Consider the following 19,735-nt stretch of genomic DNA (forward strand, 5'->3'; position numbering starts at 1 on the left):
CTTACATAACAATACCCTCCTTCCCTCTGTGACAACACATACTTTCTTTGGATTTACTGATACTCATTACCTCGAGGACAGTAGGATAGCCAGCAATCAGTTCATCTCAAAGGTGACTTTGCATATCTTTTCTGTTGTGTATTTGTTTCATGCATGGTTACTCAGAGATCAATATGCTTTTCTAATTTCTAAATTCCTTCTTAGACAGTAATGGTAATTAATTATCCCTGGATCTTGCAAATGTAATGAGAGTGGGATCAATTTCACTGAGCTAAGCCTTTAGTCACTGTTTGGGGAGTTTGAGTCCTTTTTAGCCCTAGGATTGGTGTCCCTAGATGTCCAAGTTCCTTGCCTAAAGAGGCCTCATACTGAACCCACAACTACTTTTCTCCTGATTGGTATCCTACTCTGAATGACAGGGGATAACCAGTGAGAATTCTGCAGCTGTTACAAGTGAGATCACTTCAGAGCGAGGCTAGACTCCAGACCCACTGGATCCATTAGACCAGAGGCTGACAAAGCTTTTCTGTAAAGGAACAGATACTGAATATTTTTTCTGGGCCATACACTCTCTGTCACTACTCAACACTGCCGTCGTAATCCTGAAGACATCATAGACAATATGTAAATGAATGGCATGGCCGTGTTCTAGTAAAATTTTATTTGCAAAAGTAAGCAGCCGGTTGGTCCCTGGTTGAGGCTGAGGAAGACATTACTTCCTGCTGGAAATACTTGGGACTTACATTTGACACAGGCTAAAAGTATGGGATGAGAGAGGAACAAAAGCTTACAAACAAAGAGCAGCCAGTTTGGCCAAAGAGGAATGTGCATGAAAGAAGGTGGCAACAGACTGACATGTAATTCGGTAAGGATAAATACATTTACAAATGTGCAAACTGACCTTTTGCTGGTTCATCTTTATTTTAGTCATACTACTTAAAAATATATATTTAAAAAATATTATTTTAAAAGTCATCTTCCACTTGAATCATAAACTTCTTCCTTGTATCAAAAGTTGTGCCACTATCCTGGTTACTTGTGGATTCACCAAGCAGTCCAGCAAGTCATCCGTAGAAATGAATGTTTGAGGAGTCGTAGTAGTATTTGAGGCAATCTGTTCCTCAATTGCATTTTCACTGTTGCTCATTATTTGTTGTCTCTTGGCACAATGCAATTTTCCAAAGTGTTCTCCATCCTTGTCCACAAAGTCTTTCCCATCACTTCCAAATATGCCTCCTCTTTCTGAAGGCGGTTCTTCGGACCTCTGTGCTACAGGGACCAGATCAGGGCCAAAGGGACTTGCTGCCTCCGGTTTGTCTGTTCCTGTGGTCAAGTTCTGGCTACCTGTTTGGCCCACCTCCATGTGGTTGCACACATTTAATTCTTCCTTTTTCATGTGCTCTCCATCTGTTCTCAGTGCTTGGATTTCTACTACCTCAGATGTTCTGCAGCGATCAAAAAATGCAGAAACAGCTGCATTTAAGTAGCAACAGTTGACTGCATGGGACGTTTCCTCAACCTAAGGGAAGAGAAAAACCTTTTAAAATGGTTACATACATTTAGTTACACTGGAAAACATATGTTCTAGTCAGGGCTGGTTTACCACAGGAAACTAACTGCCATGATGAAGACCAGAAGCCGCCTACCTCAGTGGGGTTTAACCAGGCTCTGGTATTTTGTGGATTCTCTGCAGTTTTCAGGGCACACACAAGCATACGGGTGATTGCCTCTTCTACCCGGGCTAGGTGATCCTCTTCCTGAATTAAAAAAACACGCTTTTAACTTCTGTTAAGTCTCATGGCTTTTTAAGAGATAATAAAGTCTGTTTTAATTTCATCTTCTGTTCTCTCATTAATATAAGCTTTGTTATAGAAGGAATGAATATGCTATTGGTAGAACCACAATTTTTGTGTATTTACTATCACCTGCCATCTAGAAGAGCTGCAGAATATTTCACCAATCAAATTTAAGTATGTATTCTATCTATAAGTCATGGCCTTAAGTATGAATCACCTTATGATATTTTCTCCAATCTTTTCCATTATTTGACATGTTTAAAGTTTTTTTTTTAAAGTACCACATACAGAGGAATAATCCCTATAGAGTCTGACAAGCAAATTATTTCAGAGATGGAAGAAAAATTACAATAAACATGCTTGGCTACAAGAATGAGATGGCTATCCATCTAAACGTGGCTTTAAGACAGAGTAAATATAAGGTATAGCATTAATGAGGAACTGCATTAAAATCAACAACTTCTGTTTACGAAAAAACACCACAAAGGAAAAAAACAAACTAGATGCCTGTAACATATATAACTGATAAAATATTAATGTGTAGAATAATCTACACATATCAATAAGAGAAATGAGCAAATTTTAAAAAATGGGCAAAAGACACAATGATAAGCATTTTAAAAAGGAGCAATCAGAGGACTAATAAACATATGAAGATATGTTTAGCCTCCAGGGAAGTGCAAATTGAGAAATCCATGAAATTGGCAAAAAGGGGCCTGATAGTTCCAAGTGGGACATTGAGAGACAAAAGTCTTATACACTAATGGGAAAGCAAACTGATAGAGACATTTGGAAAACATGGGTGGCATTATCTCGTAAACTTGAGTATTGTATACCCTATGGACCAGCAATACCACTCTGAGATTTATACACAGTCTAGATAAACTTTTGCACATGTGTGCCAGGAAACATGTACAAGAATATTCTGTTCATAGAAGCAAAAAATTGAACACTGAATCATCCATCAATAGAACAATGAATAATATATAAATTATTATAAATATAATAAATTATTGATATATATACATATATTAATATATGAATAGTAACTAAAATAGTAACAATGAATAAATATTAATAATGAATAAATTATGGGCTACCTTAACACAGTATTATATCACAGTGAAAAGGAATGAACAGCTTACATGTGACAACACAAATGAATCTTAGAAACACAATATTGAACTTAAAAAAGCAAATCTCCATGATGAGATATGACTTCACACCAGGATAGTGCTAATAAAAAAAAGACAGATATTAACAAGTGTTGGTGAGGATGCAGAGAAATCAGAATCTTCATACATTGCTGGTGGGAATGTAAAATGGTGCTTCAGAAACCTGGGAGTTCCTCAAAAGGTTAAACACAGAGTTACCATATGTAATGATTAATTTTGAGTCAAGGTGGCTAGACAATAGCACCCAGTTGTTTGGTCAAACAATAATCTGGATGTTGCTGTGAAGATAACTTGAAGATATTATTAGCATTTACAATCAACTGACTTTATGTAAAGGAGATTATACTCAATAATGTATGTGGTCCTTACCCAATTAGTTGAAGTCCTTAAGAGCAAAAACTGAGATGTCTTAGAGAAAAAAATTCTGCCTCAAGACTGTAATAGAAGTCCTATGTGAGTTTCCAGCCTGCCAGCCTGCCCTACAAATTTCAGACATGCCAGCCACTACAATCAAGTAAGCCCATTCCTTAAAGTAAATCTCAATCTCTTGTTCTCTATATAAATACAGACATTTCTATCTATGTATTTATAGATATCTACATTTACGTACATGTAGACATCATGTAAAGATATCTATCTACGTATATACTCATACGAATGGGATTACTGGATCATATGGTGTATCGGAGTTCCTCAGAGAAACAGAACCAACAGAAGATACAGTCAGATAACCAGATACAGACATAACACATAACATTAGATTCATTATATACCATAAGATTTAGCCAGGCTATAGCATGCATCAGTATTTCATTCCTTGTGATAGTTGAAAAACATTCCATTGTACACATATACCACATTTTGTTTATCCACTCATCAGATGATTGATATTTGAGTTGTGTCACTTTGGGCTATTATGAATACTACTACTGTAAACATTCGTGTAGAAGTTTTTGTGTGGGCCAGGCACGGTGGCTCACACCTGTAATCCTGGCATTTTGGGAGGCCAAGGCGGGTGGATCACCTGAGGTCAGGAGTTCGAGACCAGCTTCAACTTGGAGAAACCCCGTCTCTACTAAAAATACAAAATTAGCTGGGCCTGGTGGTGCATGCCTTTAATCCCAGCTACTCAGGAGGCTGAAGCAGGAGAATTGCCTGAACCTGGGAGGCGGAGGTTGCGGTGGGCCGAGATCGAGCCATTGCACTCCAGCCTGGGCAACAAGAGCGAAACTTTGTCTCAAACAACAAAAAAAAAAGTTTTTGTGTGGACATATATTTTCATTTTTCTTGGGTATACACCTAGGAATGGAATTGCTGGGTCATATGGTATATCAGTCAAGGTTCTCCAAAGAAAGAGAACCAATAGAAAAAAATATATATGTGTGCATATGTGTACAGAGATAAGACAGATGGATAGATGGACAGATAATGTGACAAAACTTTTTTGTTTAAACAAGAGAATGAGGAGAGTGAACGGAACAGACAGGAAAGGGATTGGGAAGAACACAGCACAAATGCAAGTTACTGATAAAATTCTAGGCTGGGCATGGTGGCTCATGCCTGTAATCCCAGCACTTTTGGAGGCCAAAGTGGAAGTACTGCTTGAGGCCAAGAGTTTGACGCTGCAGTGAGCTATGACTGCACCACTGCACTCCAGCCTGGGCAACAGAATGAGATTCCATCTCTAAAAAATAAAAAAATAAAAAATTCTAGTTTTCGGGTTAGGTAATGAGTTTACTGGTGCTCGTTGTATTATATATTATGTTACATATTCTTTTATATGTATAAATATAACAAAAGATATAACAAAGGAAAAATGCTGAGAATGAGAAAAAGCTTTAAAATTAACAAAATATTTTCTAAAAATGTTTAGAAAAAATACTGATAAATACATTTCAATACTCGAATAAGGAGGTGAAAAAGATGAAAAGGCACCAGCCAAGAAGAAATGGATCCTGCACCACTTGAACAGAGCTAAAATCTCTACTCTTTTCCAAGTATGTGATTCATGAAAGCAATATCAGAACCTGGGGTTAACTTGAGTTATATAAGTATGGTAGGCTCTAAAACCTATGAGCTTTTTGGAGCTAAATTTGGCAAAAAGAAGGAATTATTGTCCAATGTTGAAGAGACAATGATAAAAGCAACATATGACAGAGAAAGATATGATTATTTAACTCCAGTTGTGCATTCCAGTTTTTCAATAAACATTGAATGGCCTTCAAACAGAATTATACAGAAAGATGTTGAAGAAGGAACTGGAGGTCTGGTTTGGTGAAGGACAGAAATCATCCACTTGAAATCAGCATGAAGTTCTTAGCTACCATACTTCTAAGTACTACCTTGGAGTCTGTTTATAGTCAACGATACTAATCCTTTGGAAAATTATACAAAAGATGACTAAATAGTATATAATAAGCCTTTTAAAACACTGTGGTGAAGTCTTTCATGTTATTGAGGCCATGTAAATGCATATCTAAATAAAATATGAACAAACAGTATTAAAAACAGTATATCAAAACCAAGTGGTATTTACTCCAGAAATTAAGGATGAATCAATATTAGGCAATCAATTGATATAATTTATTGCAATATCAGGTGTTTACTAAAGAAGAATATTATGTAATCATCTTTATCAATTCAACAAAATTCAATACCTTTTCCTGATTTTGAAAAAAACAAAAAGTAATGAAATAGAAATTGATGGATACTTAATATGATAAAACACATACAACTCAGCCGCAAATCTAGCATTTCATAGTCAGGAACAAGACAAGGATGCCCACTATCTCCCCTATTATTAATGAATTGGATGGATTAGCCAATGTAATCAGACCAAATCTCCACCCCCACCCCACAATTATAGGCAAACAAATTAGAAAGGAAGAAGAAAAACTATCTTAATTTTCAGGTAATCTGAGAGATACCTGAAAACCCCAGAAAGTCAATATAAAACTACCACAAAATAAAATAATTCAAATTAACACAAAAATCAATAGCTATCATATACACTAATAATATCCAGTTAGAAGACAGAATGGAAGAGAAGACCTTACCCTAGCAGCAAAAAAAGATGAAATATGGCAGTCCGCCCTTATCTGCAGTTTCGCTTTCCACAGTTTCAGTTACCCGTGGGCAATCTCAGTCAGAAAATATTAAGTGAAAAATTCCAGAATTAAACAATTTATAAGCTTTAAGTTTCATGCAATTCTGAGTAGTGTGATGAAATCTCTCACCATTCCACTCCACACAGTATACATCACCTGCCTCTGAGTCACTCAGTAGTTAGCTCAGTGATCAGATCACTGTCATGGTATTTGCAGTGCCTATATTCAAGGAACCCTTATTTTACTTAATAATAGCCCCAAAGTACAAGAGTTGTGATGCTGGCAATTTGGATATGCCAAAGACAAGGCATAAAGTGCTTCCTTTAAGTGAAAAGGTGAAAGTTCTCGACTTAATAAGGAGAAGGAAAACCAGCATGCTGAGGTTACTAAGGTCTATGGTAAGAAGAAATCTTCTATCTACAAAACTGTCAAGAGAAAAAATTATGGTAGTTTTGCTATCACACCTCAAACTGCAAAAGCTGCAGCCACAGTGCATAAGTGCTTAGTTAAAATGGATTAAGTTTGCATCTTAGCTAAGACATTACATTTGTAGGTGGAAGGCATGAACAGAAAAGTGTTGACTGATTACAATCGGGTTTGGTAATACTCGGGGTTTCAGTAATCCACTGGGGATCTTGGAATATATCCCCCGAGGATAAGGAGATACTACTGTATTTAGGAATAAACATTTAAAAGAAATGTGCAAAGCTTATGTGAGGAAAACTTTAAAACACAGCTGTAAAAACAAAAACAAACAAAACTGAACTTGGATACATGGAAAGGCACCTAATTTGTGGACAGAACAATTCAACATCATAAAGCTCAGATAAAATTTAATATGGATCAAAAAAAAAATCAAAAGGTTTTTTTTTTTTTTCCTAAAGCTAGACAAGCTGATTTTAAAGAACACATTAAAAAAACAGAGGCAAGAATAGCCAGAAAAACCCTGCAAAACAAAGCAATGGTCAGTCCTACTGATGTTAAAACATAAGACCTCACTAAATAAATAGGCAGAAAGACCAATGGACAAAATAGACCCAGATATGTTCAGGTATCTAGTATATGATTAAACAGACATTTCAAATCATGAAGGGAAAACAAACTGTAAAATAAATGATGGTCCTGACAATCCTATTACCATTTTGGAAAAGATAAAATTAGATCTCAGCTCTCTCCTCTCTCCTCTCTCCTCTCTCTCTCCTCTCCCCTCTCCCCTCTCCCCACGGTCTCCCTCTCCCTCTCTTTCCACGGTCTCCCTCTGATGCCGAGCCGAAGCTGGACTGTACTGCTGCCATCTCGGCTCACTGCAACCTCCCTGCCTGATTCTCCTGCCTCGGCCTGCCGAGTGCCTGCGATTGCAGGCGCGCGCCGCCACGCCTGGCTGGTTTTCGTATTTTTTTGGTGGAGATGGGGTTTCACTGTGTTGGCCGTGCTGGTCTCCAGCTCCTAACCGCGAGTGATCTGCCAGCCTCGGCCTCCCGAGGTGCTGGGATTGCAGACGGAGTCTCGTTCACTCAGTGCTCAATGGTGCCCAGGCTGGAGTGCAGTGGCGTGATCTCGGCTCGCTACAACCTCCACCTCCCAGCCGCCTGCCTTGGCCTCCCAAAGTGCCGAGATTGCAGCCTCTGCCCGGCCGCCACCCCATCTGGGAAGTGAGGAGCATCTCTGCCTGGCCGCCTATCGTCTGGGATGTGAGGAGCCCCTCTGCCCGGCTGCCCAGTCTGGAAAGTGAGGAGCATCTCTGCCCGGCCGCCATCCCATCTAGGAAGTGAGGAGTGCCTCTTCCCGGCTGCCATCCCATCTAGGAAGTGAGGAGCGTCTCTGCCCGGCCGCCCATCGTCTGAGATGTGGGGAGCGCCTCTGCCCGGCCGCGACCCCATCTAGGAAGTGAGGAGCGTCTCTGCCCGGCCGCCCCGTCTGAGAAGTGAGGAGACCCTCCGCCTGGCAACCGCCCCATCTGAGAAATGAGGAGCCCCTCCGCCCGGCAACCACACCGTCTGGGAAGTGAGGAGCGTCTCCGCCCGGCCAGCCGCCCTGTCTGGGAGGGAGGTCGGGGGGGTCAGCCCCCCTCCCGGCCAGCCGCCCCGTCTCGGAGGGAGGTGGGGGTCAGCCCCCTGCCCGGCCAGCCGCCCCGTCCGGGAGGGAGGTGGGGGGTCAGCGCCCCGCCCGGCCAGCCGCCCCATCTGGGAGGGAGGTGGGGGGGTCAGCCCCCCGCCCGGCCAGCCGCCCCGTCCGGGAGGTGAGGGGCGCCTCTGCCCAGCCGCCCCTACTGGGAAGTGAGGAGCCCCTCTGCCCGGCCAGCCGCCCCGTCCCGGAGGGAGGTGGGGGGGTCAGCCCCCCGCCCGGCCAGCCGCCCCGTCCGGGAGGTGAGGGGCGCCTCTGCCCAGCCGCCCCTACTGGGAAGTGAGGAGCCCCTGTGCCCGGCCGCCACCCCGTCTGGGAGGTGTACCCAACAGCTCATTGAGAACGGGCCATGATGACAATGGCGGTTTTGTGGAATAGAAAGGGGGGAACGGTGGGGAAAAGATTGAGAAATCGGATGGTTGCCGTGTCTGTGTAGAAAGAAGTAGACATGGGAAACTTTTCATTTTGTTCTGTACTAAGAAAAATTCTTCGGCCTTGGGATCCTGTTGATCTGTGACTTTACCCCCAACCCTGTGCTCTCTGAAACATGTGCTGTGTCCACTCAGGGTTAAATGGATTAAGGGTGGTGCAAGATGTGCTTTGTTAAACAGACGCTTGAAGGCAGCGTGCTCGTTGAGAGTCATCACCACTCCCTAATCTCAAGTACCCAGGGACACAAACACTGCGGAAGGCCGCAGGGTCCTCTGCCTAGGAAAACCAGAGACCTTTGTTCACTTGTTTATCTGCTGACCTTCCCTCCACTATTGTCCTATGACCCTGCCAAATCCCCCTCTGTGAGAAACACCCAAGAATGATCAATTAAAAAAAAAAAAAGAAAAAAAAATTAGATCTCAAACTTATACTATATCCTAGTGAAAAACTTCCAAATGGATAAGAGATCGAAATGCAAAAAACATGAAACAATCTAAATTCTAACACAAAACATTGGTGAATTCCTTTATGACCTGGAAAGGGTCATATGACCTTGGTTTCTAATTATGACTCAAAAACAATAAAGTTCAACAACAGATTTTGTTGGTGAGGCTGTGGAGGAAACAAGCACTTTCACATACTACTAATGGAAATGCAAAATGGCACAATCACAATGAAGCTGAATTTGGCAAAACCTAACAAAATTAAAGATACATTTACCCTATGACATGGCAAATCCATTGTTAAGATCTCCCCCAAAGACACACTTCAACAAATATAAAACAACATATGCACAAGGTTATTCAGTGGCATTATTTGTAATTACAAAAGACTGGAAACAACCCAAACATCTATCCTTAAAGGAACTAATGAACAGTAGAGCACCCATACAGTGAAGTACTAGACAGTGGTTGAAGAAAAATATGAATATTTCTCTGTACTATTATGTAGTGAAATTCAAGATATTATTGTTGAAAAAAGCAAGGTATGGAACACTATAGTTTATTACTTTCTATGGAATAAAGGATAGAAAATTTAAAATATATTTGAATAAGTATATAAATAAGTAAAGACATATTTATATGCTTATGCACTTTGTACATATAAGACTGTTTATATACTTATTTACATATATAAATATATCTATTCATTTACTTACTTTTATATATAGATATAGATATATATGTTTACAAGAAACACTGGAAATGATAAACCAGAAATGAATAAAAATGGATCTCTATAAAGGTTGGGAAAAATGGAGTGGATGGAACAGGGATGAAAGGCAGACTTCCCTGAGTATAACTTTTAACATAGTTTTGACAAGTTAAATGTTCTACATATTTAAAATATTAAATTAGATCAAAATTTTAAAAAGGTAAATCCTAAAATTGAAAACAAACTGAAACAAATGAACTTAACTAAATATCCAATTAGTAAAATAACCATAAATGAAAAGAATTCCTTCACAATGACTCCTGAATAAAGGACTTTGTATCTATCCCTCTTAGTGATAGATACAGTCTAATAATAAAAAGAATTGCAAAGAAATCTTAATTTTTACTTGCAAGCTTTATGGTTAGTAGTAATATTACTATTTGAATTTTGGAAACATAAATTTGACATCTTTTTCTTTTTTTGAGATGGAGTCTTGTTCTGTCACCAGGCTAGAGTGCAATGGCGCGATCTCAGCTCACTGCAACCTCCACCTCCTGGGTTCAAGTGACTCCCCTGCCTCAGCCTCCTGAGTAGCTGGAACTACAGGCATGCGCCACCATGCCCGGCTAATTTTTTGTATTTTTTTAGTAGAGAAGGGGTTTCACCATGTTGGCCAGGATGGTCTCAATCTCCTGACCATGTGATCTGCCCGCCTCGGCCTCCCAAAGTGCCGGGATTATAGGTGTGAGCCACTGCACCCGGCCAAATTTGATATCTTAAAAAATATATTGCTGGATACAGCAAACAAGTAAATATGTTACTGGTTTTCTTTCTTTTTTTTTTTTTTTGAGACAGAGACTCGCTCTGTTGCCAGGCCAGAGTGCAGTGACTTGATCTCGGCTCACTGCAACTTCTGTCTCCCTGGTTCAAGCGATTCTCCTGCCTCAGCCTCCCGAATAGCCGGGATTACAGGTGCGTGCCACTATGCCCAGCTAATTTTTGCATTTTTAGTAGAGATAGGGTTTCACCATGTTGGCCAGGATGGTCTCGATCTTTTGACCTCATGATCCACCCACCTCGGCCTCCCAAAGTGCTGGGATTACAGGCGTAAGCCACCGTGCCCGGCCTTATGTTACTGTTTTTAAGGACCCAGATTTTCAGTGTTAAGAGAAGAGATAAAAATACAGAAACAAATAAAAAATTCTATCATGTTAAACTTGAATTAGATACTTTTATAGTTCATAAGTCTGATGATTGGGTGTCATGCTCATGTGTGAGACATGCCTCCCTTAAGCCTTGTTATGACGTCAGCATATTACCTGTCTAGATATATTTTTTAAACACATGAATTAGAAATATAAATACATCAATATCTATCTATCTATCTATCTATCTATCTATCTATCTAATCTATCTATCTATCTCACATTCTAGCTACATCACTGAAAGAGCCTAGAAACACTGACACCCAGGAGCAATGAACAGATTTAGAGCTGAGATCTCAGTTTCTAAATGCCATTTCCTACAAAAAGAACTGTGGCTACCTGGAGAAATGATTGACTTCCAAGTGTGGGGCACTAAAGGAGAAAGGGTATCCTGGGATATCTTCCTGTGCCAGAAAGCCAGGATACACTCAAAGTCTAATTAACGGGGACATATCAAAAGGGCACAGGCCAGCTTGAAGTTTCACTAAAATGACAGATAAGACCCAAATTTAAAATTATCTTGTCAAGCTGGAATGCTCAACCAAACCAATATGATGAAAATTAACAGGGATGACTGTGAAATACTGGATTTAGAATTAAAATCAGCTTTATAGGTACAGGATAGGATTCAACCTGCCTGACAGCAGATCATGTGAAAAAAAATCACAGATATTTTAAAGTTGAATATGAAACTAAAGTGAGATGAGATTACTTAAAAAACTAACCCAATATTACAAGCAGCACTGGAGATATTTAGGATCGAGATCATGTGGGGTAGAAATCTTATACTCTACCAAATAAGGCCTACTGATATTCAGTTTTAGGCACTATATATTAAGAGAACTATTCTTGACATAATAGCTCTCCCTCCTCCTCATAGCAATTTCTACTTTTTAAACACTTCCCATATGCCACGCACTATATTAGATGCTTTTACAATGTGTTGTCCAATTACTCTACTGAGGTGGGTTCAATTATAATCCTCATTTTACAAGAAAATGGAGGCTTGAAGAGATTAAGTAATTATCTATGTTAGACAGCTAACAAAGGTAACCTGTATCTTAAAGTTGCCTGATTCCAAAGTCTATGGCCAGAATGGTAAAAAGTCTGGAAAAAGGAAAAAATCACCCATAAAAACACCCCATTAAAGAAAGTAAGAGGTTTTGAGCATGGAAGAAGAAAAGATTATGGAAAAACTTGGAGGTATTTTCAAATATTTTAAAAAGATGACAGCTCTACTCTTTAACAACAAGCGAACTTCCTTGGGAGGTGAAGCACCTGTCAGGGCTATTGTAGATATGACTTTGGCATTGGGAGTGGAAGTTCTCCATGGATTCTACCTTGACATCTGCTGCAACTCCAGTTCAGCATGCTATAGGCGAAATTTCTGTGACGCTACTGATCTCCTGCCATACCTCTCACTTAAGCCTCAAGGGCTACAACTCTTCACTAAGCCCACACAACATAGCTTTCTGTAACAATATTCCTTCTGTTCCACTGATTCCAAAGCCATTCCTATTAGCAAAGGATAGGAAAAACTAGACTAGGGAGAGGATACGGCTGTCAAACAGAGCAGAAAGATGCAATCCAGGCTTCAGGTCAAGGAGAGCAGAGATGCAGTCAGGGCCTCTGGTTAAAGAGAGGCAGCTGCAATTAAGGCCCCAGTTGAAGAGACAGACTTGAGCATAACAAGCAGCTATTCTAATTGTCAAATAGAGCAGGCAACCAGGATTAAGCTTAACACATCAGAGGGAAAGGCTTCTGGCAGAAATGAAATGATAAAAACCTAGCACTGAAAGAAAGACTCCGCTTTGAGAATATGTAGAAGCCAAGACAGAATTCTGCAATTAGTAATGACCCTGAACCAAGAAGCAGGTATTTCCAGCCCAGATGGTGTGAAAGAGGAGCGGCAACAAGGGACACATATCGGCAAATCTGGCCAGGCCCAATACAATTTTCCTAACAACACTGGTCAAGGGAAAGGACCCTGCATGCCAGCATCAGGCGCATTCTGTGTCCTTAAAAGAAAGAGAGTGGCACACCACTAAAATTCCAATTTCCAACCTAAACATCCATTAACAGAAGACAGAATGCATACGTTATAGTGCACTGCAACAAAAAAATACTGAAGCATTGGTTAAAAAAAATTAATTACCCAGTTGTACAGCCAGACCTTATATATCTTTTAAAAGCATGATTTGCACTTACTTAAAAAAAAAAAAAAAACAACGAAAAAGTACCAGTTCAATCCATGAGTTTATACTGACAGTGACAGGATCAATGGATTCTACGTAATGCCACCAGTGTCTGGGAACAAAGAGAACCTGAAAACCAAACAAAGAATGGTTAGCACAAGAACAGGACGTTTCATTTTTATGTCAGAATCAGACCCTAATTGAGGCTGCTAGGAAAAAAAGGAATACAAATGAATTCACAATAATATTGCTGGAGAAAAGTAAAGTAAGAAAAAAAACCCCGCAAACCTTTTTTCCTTTTATTCCTTTTTTATTGACAAGTTCACATGTTCTACAAAGGATACTGCCAGCATCTCTATTCTCTTTAATCCTGGGCCTTCTTTGTCTGCACCTAAATCTTAGTACATGATTCTGAGATTCTAATTTTTCCTCCTTTCCGTCACAAAATAGTTGCGTGCATTCTGAGAAAGGGCATAGGTAAAACACATAGGACGTGGCTTCTGTTTTCTCACAGCTCAAAATCTAGCCAATGAGAAGATAAAGTATAGAAAGGTGGCATTATAGAAGTGGTAAATCAGGGGACAATGGTGTTTCAGAATTTCAGAGGTGGGTGAAACAGGCATGAACTAGGGAGGTCAGGGGCAACATGGATGGAAGAAGTGTGATTTGAACCCGGGCTAGGAGAGAATTTAGACACAGAAAGAATGAGGACATGCCAGGAAGGATAAGAGGTACAGGTGAGGGAGGTAGGACTACAGAAGATAGCAAGTAGGTCAGTCTTACTATCACAGAGGGAATAATGGGAGATAAGGTAGGGGAATTAGTTTAGGGACAGCGGACTTCAGAATCTAGATTTTATCTGGTAGGCACTAGGAGTTGTTGAGAAATTCTAAGTAGGGGGATGGTTAAAATAGTGGTATCGAGAGAGTCTGAGAAGGACAGGAGATACTTGCAAAGGTCCACTTATTAAACGTTAAGATATAAATAGGAAGGTATAATAAACAAAAGCAATGGGCAGAGTCAAGAAGGATGGCATCTATCCAGACTCAGTATGAGATTTCCTATTAAGAGCAGAGTAGATGGAAATGATGTGAAGCTTTTGGGCTTCACATTAGGAAACTACTGGTATTTGCTGTGAACAAGGCAGGACTGGGAAATAGAAAGAGAGATCCTTTCAGGAAAACTGGAAACTATAAAAGGCCACTTGATAGTCATTAGTAGGTTATGCATGTCCTATCAGAGTAAAGTTTCAGTAAAGTGGTGACAGAAAGAGCTGGGTTTGAGTGGATTAAAGAATGGATAGGATGTAAGGAAAACTGATACAATAGGCAAAACCAATCACTCAAATTTGGCTATTAAACACAGAAGAGAAAATGAATTGGCAACCACTTCACACTCTCTGGAATGGCTGTAAAAATAATGATAAAAAAGCAAAACAAGTGTTGGGAAAGATAAAAAGAAATTGGAACCCTCATACAATGCTGGTGGGAATGCAAAATAGTACAGCTGCTATGGAAAATAGTTTGACAACTCCTCAAAAAGTTAAACACAGGGTTACCATATAACCCAGCAATTCTACTCCTAGGTATACCCAAGAGTATTGAAAACATATGTACACACAAAACTTGTACATGAATGTTCAAAGTAGCATTACTTATAATAGCCAACAAAGCAGAAACAACCCAAATGTCCATCAACTGATGAACAGATAAACAAAATGTTGTATATCCATACAATGGAATATTATTCAGCCATAAAAAAGAAATGAAGTGCTAGTAACATTCTATGACGTGGATGACCCTTGAATACATTATGCTATGTGAAAGAAGTCAGACACAGAAGGCCCTGTATTATAATATTGCACTGTGTGAAATGTCCAGAATGGGCAAATCTAGAGATAGAAAAAGATTAGTTGTTGTCAGGGGCTGTGGGGAGAGGGGAATGCAGAGTGACTAACAGGTCGAGGCAACTCAGTCAAGTGAAATTGTTTGAGTTGATAGTACTTGAGTGAAGGAAGCAGGAAAAGAGCCAGTGAGACCGGTACAATGGATGGAAGACAGGCAAGGGAGAGGGATAATCGAGAGAATAAAATCTTCTTAAGTGACTAAGAAAACCTTTCAAATTATTAATGAAATATCAGACAGCAAGTGCCAATGTTGAAAAGGAAATTTTCCTCACTGGGAAGCAGCACTATGTACAGTACCTTTGGAAATGTTTCAGAGTTAGTAATTTATGAAAACAACATCCATTTTTGCTTAAAAGCAAACATTCTCGGTTCCTTCTGCCCGTTGGCCCACACCTGGAGGCATTCCGACCTGTGTTTATGTGTCTGGGTTCAGTGCTATCATAATTGAACAGATACTAACTGTGATTAAATGTTCCAGAGATGCTCGAGTACCCATGCCTTGAACATTTTCTCCTGACCTAAATGAAAATGACTCTTGTAGACTGTCTTCCTCCAAAGTCCATTCTCCTCTTTACCAATAGGAGGAGCTGTGTTCCCTCTTGCCATTTCCTTTCCAGGACCTGTGAAGCAGAGGTGTATGTGTCTGAAGCCTACAACTGGGGAAGCTACCTTCCAACAGCAGAGCAGAGGGAAGGAAGCCATTCTCATTTGCACTGCGCAGGGAGGGGAAGCACACAGCATAAGGACTTGAGAGAGTTACAGCTGTGGTGTCCCCTGGCAGGTCATTAATGTTTTAAAGCCCTATTACCTGTCCTGGGCTCAGTGTAACCGCATGTCTTTGAGCTTTCCGGAACTGAGGAAAACGCTTTAAATCAGGATTGACAACATTGATTTTACTGAACACACTAGATTCTTCATAAGGGATTCTAGTTGGATAAAGGAAAGGAGTATCTTCAGGAGGAAAGAGATGCCATCGTTTCCTAATTAAAAAAAAAAAAAAAAGATACAAGTTAGTACTCTGACCTTAAGACAAAACATGGAAGAAGACAAAAGCTAAGTGTTCATTTTTACTTGTTTAAATTCAATCCCTAAGGGAATATAGGCACCATCAGTGGTCACCTGTCCATCTCTGACTCAGCGCTAGAATCCCTCTGCAGATACCGGGTGGAAGGTTGTGTAGCAACTAAGGGGCTGCCTCATGGATGTCTCAGGACATCCATGAGGCAGCCTCTTACATTGCTGGGATAGAATCTAGTTCATAAGATCATTCTTTCTTATCTCAAATCAAAGTCTGCCTTCTCATAAATAGTTTTCATCCCTGACTCTAGAGCTATTCACAATAACCCCCACCCTTTCAAATATCTGTATTCTTATCTTATTCAGAGCAAACACTCATAGTTCTATCCACCAAATAGTTTCCAGACTTCTCCCTGTTTGGGTTATAAATTCCTTAAGTTAAACATTTGTTAAGTTGATCCATTAGGGAGTGGACATGCACAAATAATGCCACATAAATAAAGCAGTATAATATAGGAATTTTCAAAGAAAACTGTTAAAATGTTTGTCATTTAAAACAGTTTTGAAAATGGAGGTAATAAATTCTAACTCACAAAACACTAGACACTCCTATGCTTTATGCCAATAGAGGGAAGACATCTGAGGCAAAAGCGAGAGAAGTATGAGAAAAAAATGAGACCCAGACATCTAGATGTCTAGATGGGGAGGCAAAGAGAAAAGAGGGAAAAACCTAGTTCTGAGAAAAGAAGCCCAAAGCCCTCTAGTGACCCCTTGCAGTTGTTAGAATGGGGCTATCAAGTCCTTTCAGAACCAAGAAACAGCGGCTGCTGTTTTCGAACTAAGAAGTATATGCTGAAGTCTTATTTTGCTTTGGAAATTTGAAGGTTTTATAGAAATAGTGAAATTCTTTACTCTTCAGTAAACATTTACATTCAAGCCATGTATGGTGGCTCACTGCCTGTAACCTCAGCACTTTGGGAGGCCGAGGCAGAAGGAATGCTTGAGGCCAGGATAGAGAACAACCTCGGAGCCTGGGAAACATAGCAATACCTCATCCCCATAAAAAATTTTCTTAAAAAATTAGCCAGGTGTGATGGTGTGTGCCTGTAGTCCCAGCTACTCAGGAGGCTGAGGTGGGAGGATTGTTTGAGCCCAGGAGTTCGAGGAAGCAGTGAGCTATGATTGTGCCACTGCACTCCAGCCTGGGTGACAAAGCAAAACCTTGTATCTAAAAAAAAAAAAAAAAAAATTCATTTCGGAGCTATAAGGCAGCCTATCAATTTACACGGCCATCAGCTTAAAAACCATTGAGGTTCAAAAGCTGTTTGCCTAATCTTAAAGCTTTAACTTAATTTAAGCTTTAAGAGCTGCTCCATTCCACTGTATGATTAGTTTGAAAGCAGTTTTCAGTATTGATATGCTTCGAATGTTAGAGTTGGAAGGGCTCTGAAGAGATCATCAGTCTAATTTCATTTCCAAAGTAGTGGCAGAAAGACTCAGAGCTTGCCCAGTGTCACTCACTGGGGTAGTGGTGGATTCAGAGCTAGGTCACAGATCTCCTGGCTTCTCCAGATCCCAGTTCCTTCCCCTGCACCACAGCAATATTTCCCAAAGGAACAGCCATAATGATAACCATCCCATCCAATCTGCTTTGTTTGGGTTAAAAAATGTAAAATGCATGAATCCTTCTATTAGAAAAGGTATTCAATCATCATGTGATCTCCTGCTTTAAAAACTTCTCATGGTTCTGGATGCTGAAAGAACAGAGAATAACAGTGTCTGCCTGGAAGTCAAGACCCTGGGGACTCAACCTACCTGCCTTTCTGGTCTACTCCCTCTGTCTCCAATGCACAACATATACTGGACAACTCAAGGGGTCCTCTCTACACCCCATGCTTTCTCAGGGTCCCTCTGCCCTTCCCATCTGGGTCTTTTGAGCACTTATCCATCCTTCAAGGCCCACCACAAATGGCAGCTCCTCTGTGAAATCTTCCCTGATCTTTACAACAGGAACATGATCTCTTCTACTTTTTAGTCCCACAGCTCTGTGAAACCTTCCTCTAGAGCATGGGTATTCTGCCTTGTATCATGGATGTCTGTCGGCTTGCCTTGCACTCTGGCTGTAAACTCCCATCATAGAGAGGGTGTCTTACTCCCTCACCTCTGTACCTACTGTAACACATGGTCCCTGTACAGAAGGATACTCAATGGATATTTACTAAAGCTATTTTATTATTCCAGAGTTATATAAGGCCAGAAAATGTCTTATTACAAAGTTAAAATAAAGTGATATTAACTTTATATCATAGAGAGAATTCAGGTATTTTTTGATGTTTTTCCAACTTGAATTTCTTTGGCTTGTTTCCAATTCAGAACACATGGACAGCAGCTACTTAAAATGTTGTCTCTCTTACCAAGTTTAAGGTTTCAGCCTGTTAACTCCACAAGGATAGAGACCACACTCATCTGATTGACTCTTGCATCCACAGCGTGTAGCTATGTACCTGACACATTCTATGCCCTTTAATAAAGACGGAATGCATCAGAGAGTGGACTAACTTCTACCATTCTGTAATTCTCAGAGTTCTTCACATGTGAAATGTATCCACAGACATACTGACTATTTCTCCTGAATCTGCTCATAATCCTTTTCACATCTAATAGGTCTGAGAACTTGCACATGACCTTTTCTGTTTTACTCTCTGTGCTGCCCTGTAAATGTCCCACATGACCAGGAGAAAAGACTGGGGCATCATTAATTAGGGGAAAATAAGGCTGCACATACATCTGAGTACATCCTCCAAGTGGCACAAACACTTAGACTCTCATAGAACTCCAGAAACCAGGTATATCAAAAGCACTGCCTATCCCTCGTATCTTCTAGAGTCCACAGATAGATGGAGACAAAAACTGACCTAAGGTAACAATACACTGTATTGTGTCAAGTAGGCACAAACTAAAATTTAGAGTTGAAAGCGTCCAGTATTTTTCAAACCAGGATCGCTGGCATCCCTTGGAGAGGAGCTTGAGGGCAACAGTGAAGCCTCTTCCTTTCAACAAACTGCTCTGCTCTTATTTATTTAGATTTGAAGAAAGGGTGTTCCCATTTTTAAATAAAAGTTTGAAAACTACAAACTCTTATGTAAAAAAGAAAAGCTAAGCATAGGCTGGGCATAGTGGCTCACACCAGAACTTTGAGAGGCCAAGGCAGGAGTATGGTTTGAGGCCATACTTGGGCAACACAGAAAGACTCCATCTCTAAATAAAAAGTTTTTTAAATTAGCTGGGCATACTGGCACACACCTGTAGTCCTAGATACTTGAGAGGCTGCGGCAGGAGGATGGCTTGAGGTCCAGGAGCTATGATCATGCCATTGCACTCCAGCCTGGGCAACAGAGCAAGACTGTCTCAAATGTCTCTAATTTACCAAAAAAAAAAAAAAAAAAAAGACCAAGCAGAGAGCTGTCTAGCTGACCTGGGAGTGGAATCTCAGAGTTCTAGAATAAACTCTCTGAAGACAATCCTGATCATGACAAGGCACGCACCTGTAAACCACCATTTTAACTGTCCTCATTTCACAGAGGAGAAACCAAAACCAGAGGTTAAGAGGTCTGCCCTAATCA

The 19,735-nt window shown here is 40.3% G+C and overlaps 1 protein-coding gene and 1 non-coding gene across 8 annotated transcripts in view; one reads left to right on the forward strand and one right to left on the reverse strand.

The window, feature by feature from the left end:
- HSPBAP1 (HSPB1 associated protein 1) overlaps nt 643-19,735 on the reverse strand; it is a 53,833-nt gene continuing 34,740 nt past the window's right edge. For 3 of the 7 annotated variants that reach the window (XM_017007179.2, NM_024610.6, XM_047448918.1), the window contains 4 exons: nt 15,904-16,075; nt 13,235-13,318; nt 1,647-1,757; nt 643-1,519 (listed from right to left, as the gene is read on the reverse strand). In XM_017007179.2, coding sequence (XP_016862668.1) covers nt 989-1,519; nt 1,647-1,757; nt 13,235-13,318; nt 15,904-16,075 — 898 coding nt within the window. In that variant the 3' untranslated portion in view covers nt 643-988. Of the gene's footprint in view, nt 1,520-1,646; nt 1,758-13,234; nt 13,319-13,478; nt 15,716-15,903; nt 16,076-19,415; nt 19,498-19,735 lie in introns of those variants that run through there. The other 4 variants (XM_047448919.1, NM_001320728.2, XM_005247762.3 and 1 more) reach the window with 3 other exon arrangements.
- LOC124906363 (small nucleolar RNA U13) lies at nt 11,016-11,119 on the forward strand. Its single transcript, XR_007096330.1, has one exon. It is a non-coding gene; the product is annotated as a small nucleolar RNA U13 (small nucleolar RNA).

This window comes from Homo sapiens, chromosome 3 (genome assembly GCF_000001405.40).
Source record: "Homo sapiens chromosome 3, GRCh38.p14 Primary Assembly".
In the NCBI taxonomy this organism is placed as follows: domain Eukaryota; kingdom Metazoa; phylum Chordata; class Mammalia; order Primates; family Hominidae; genus Homo; species Homo sapiens.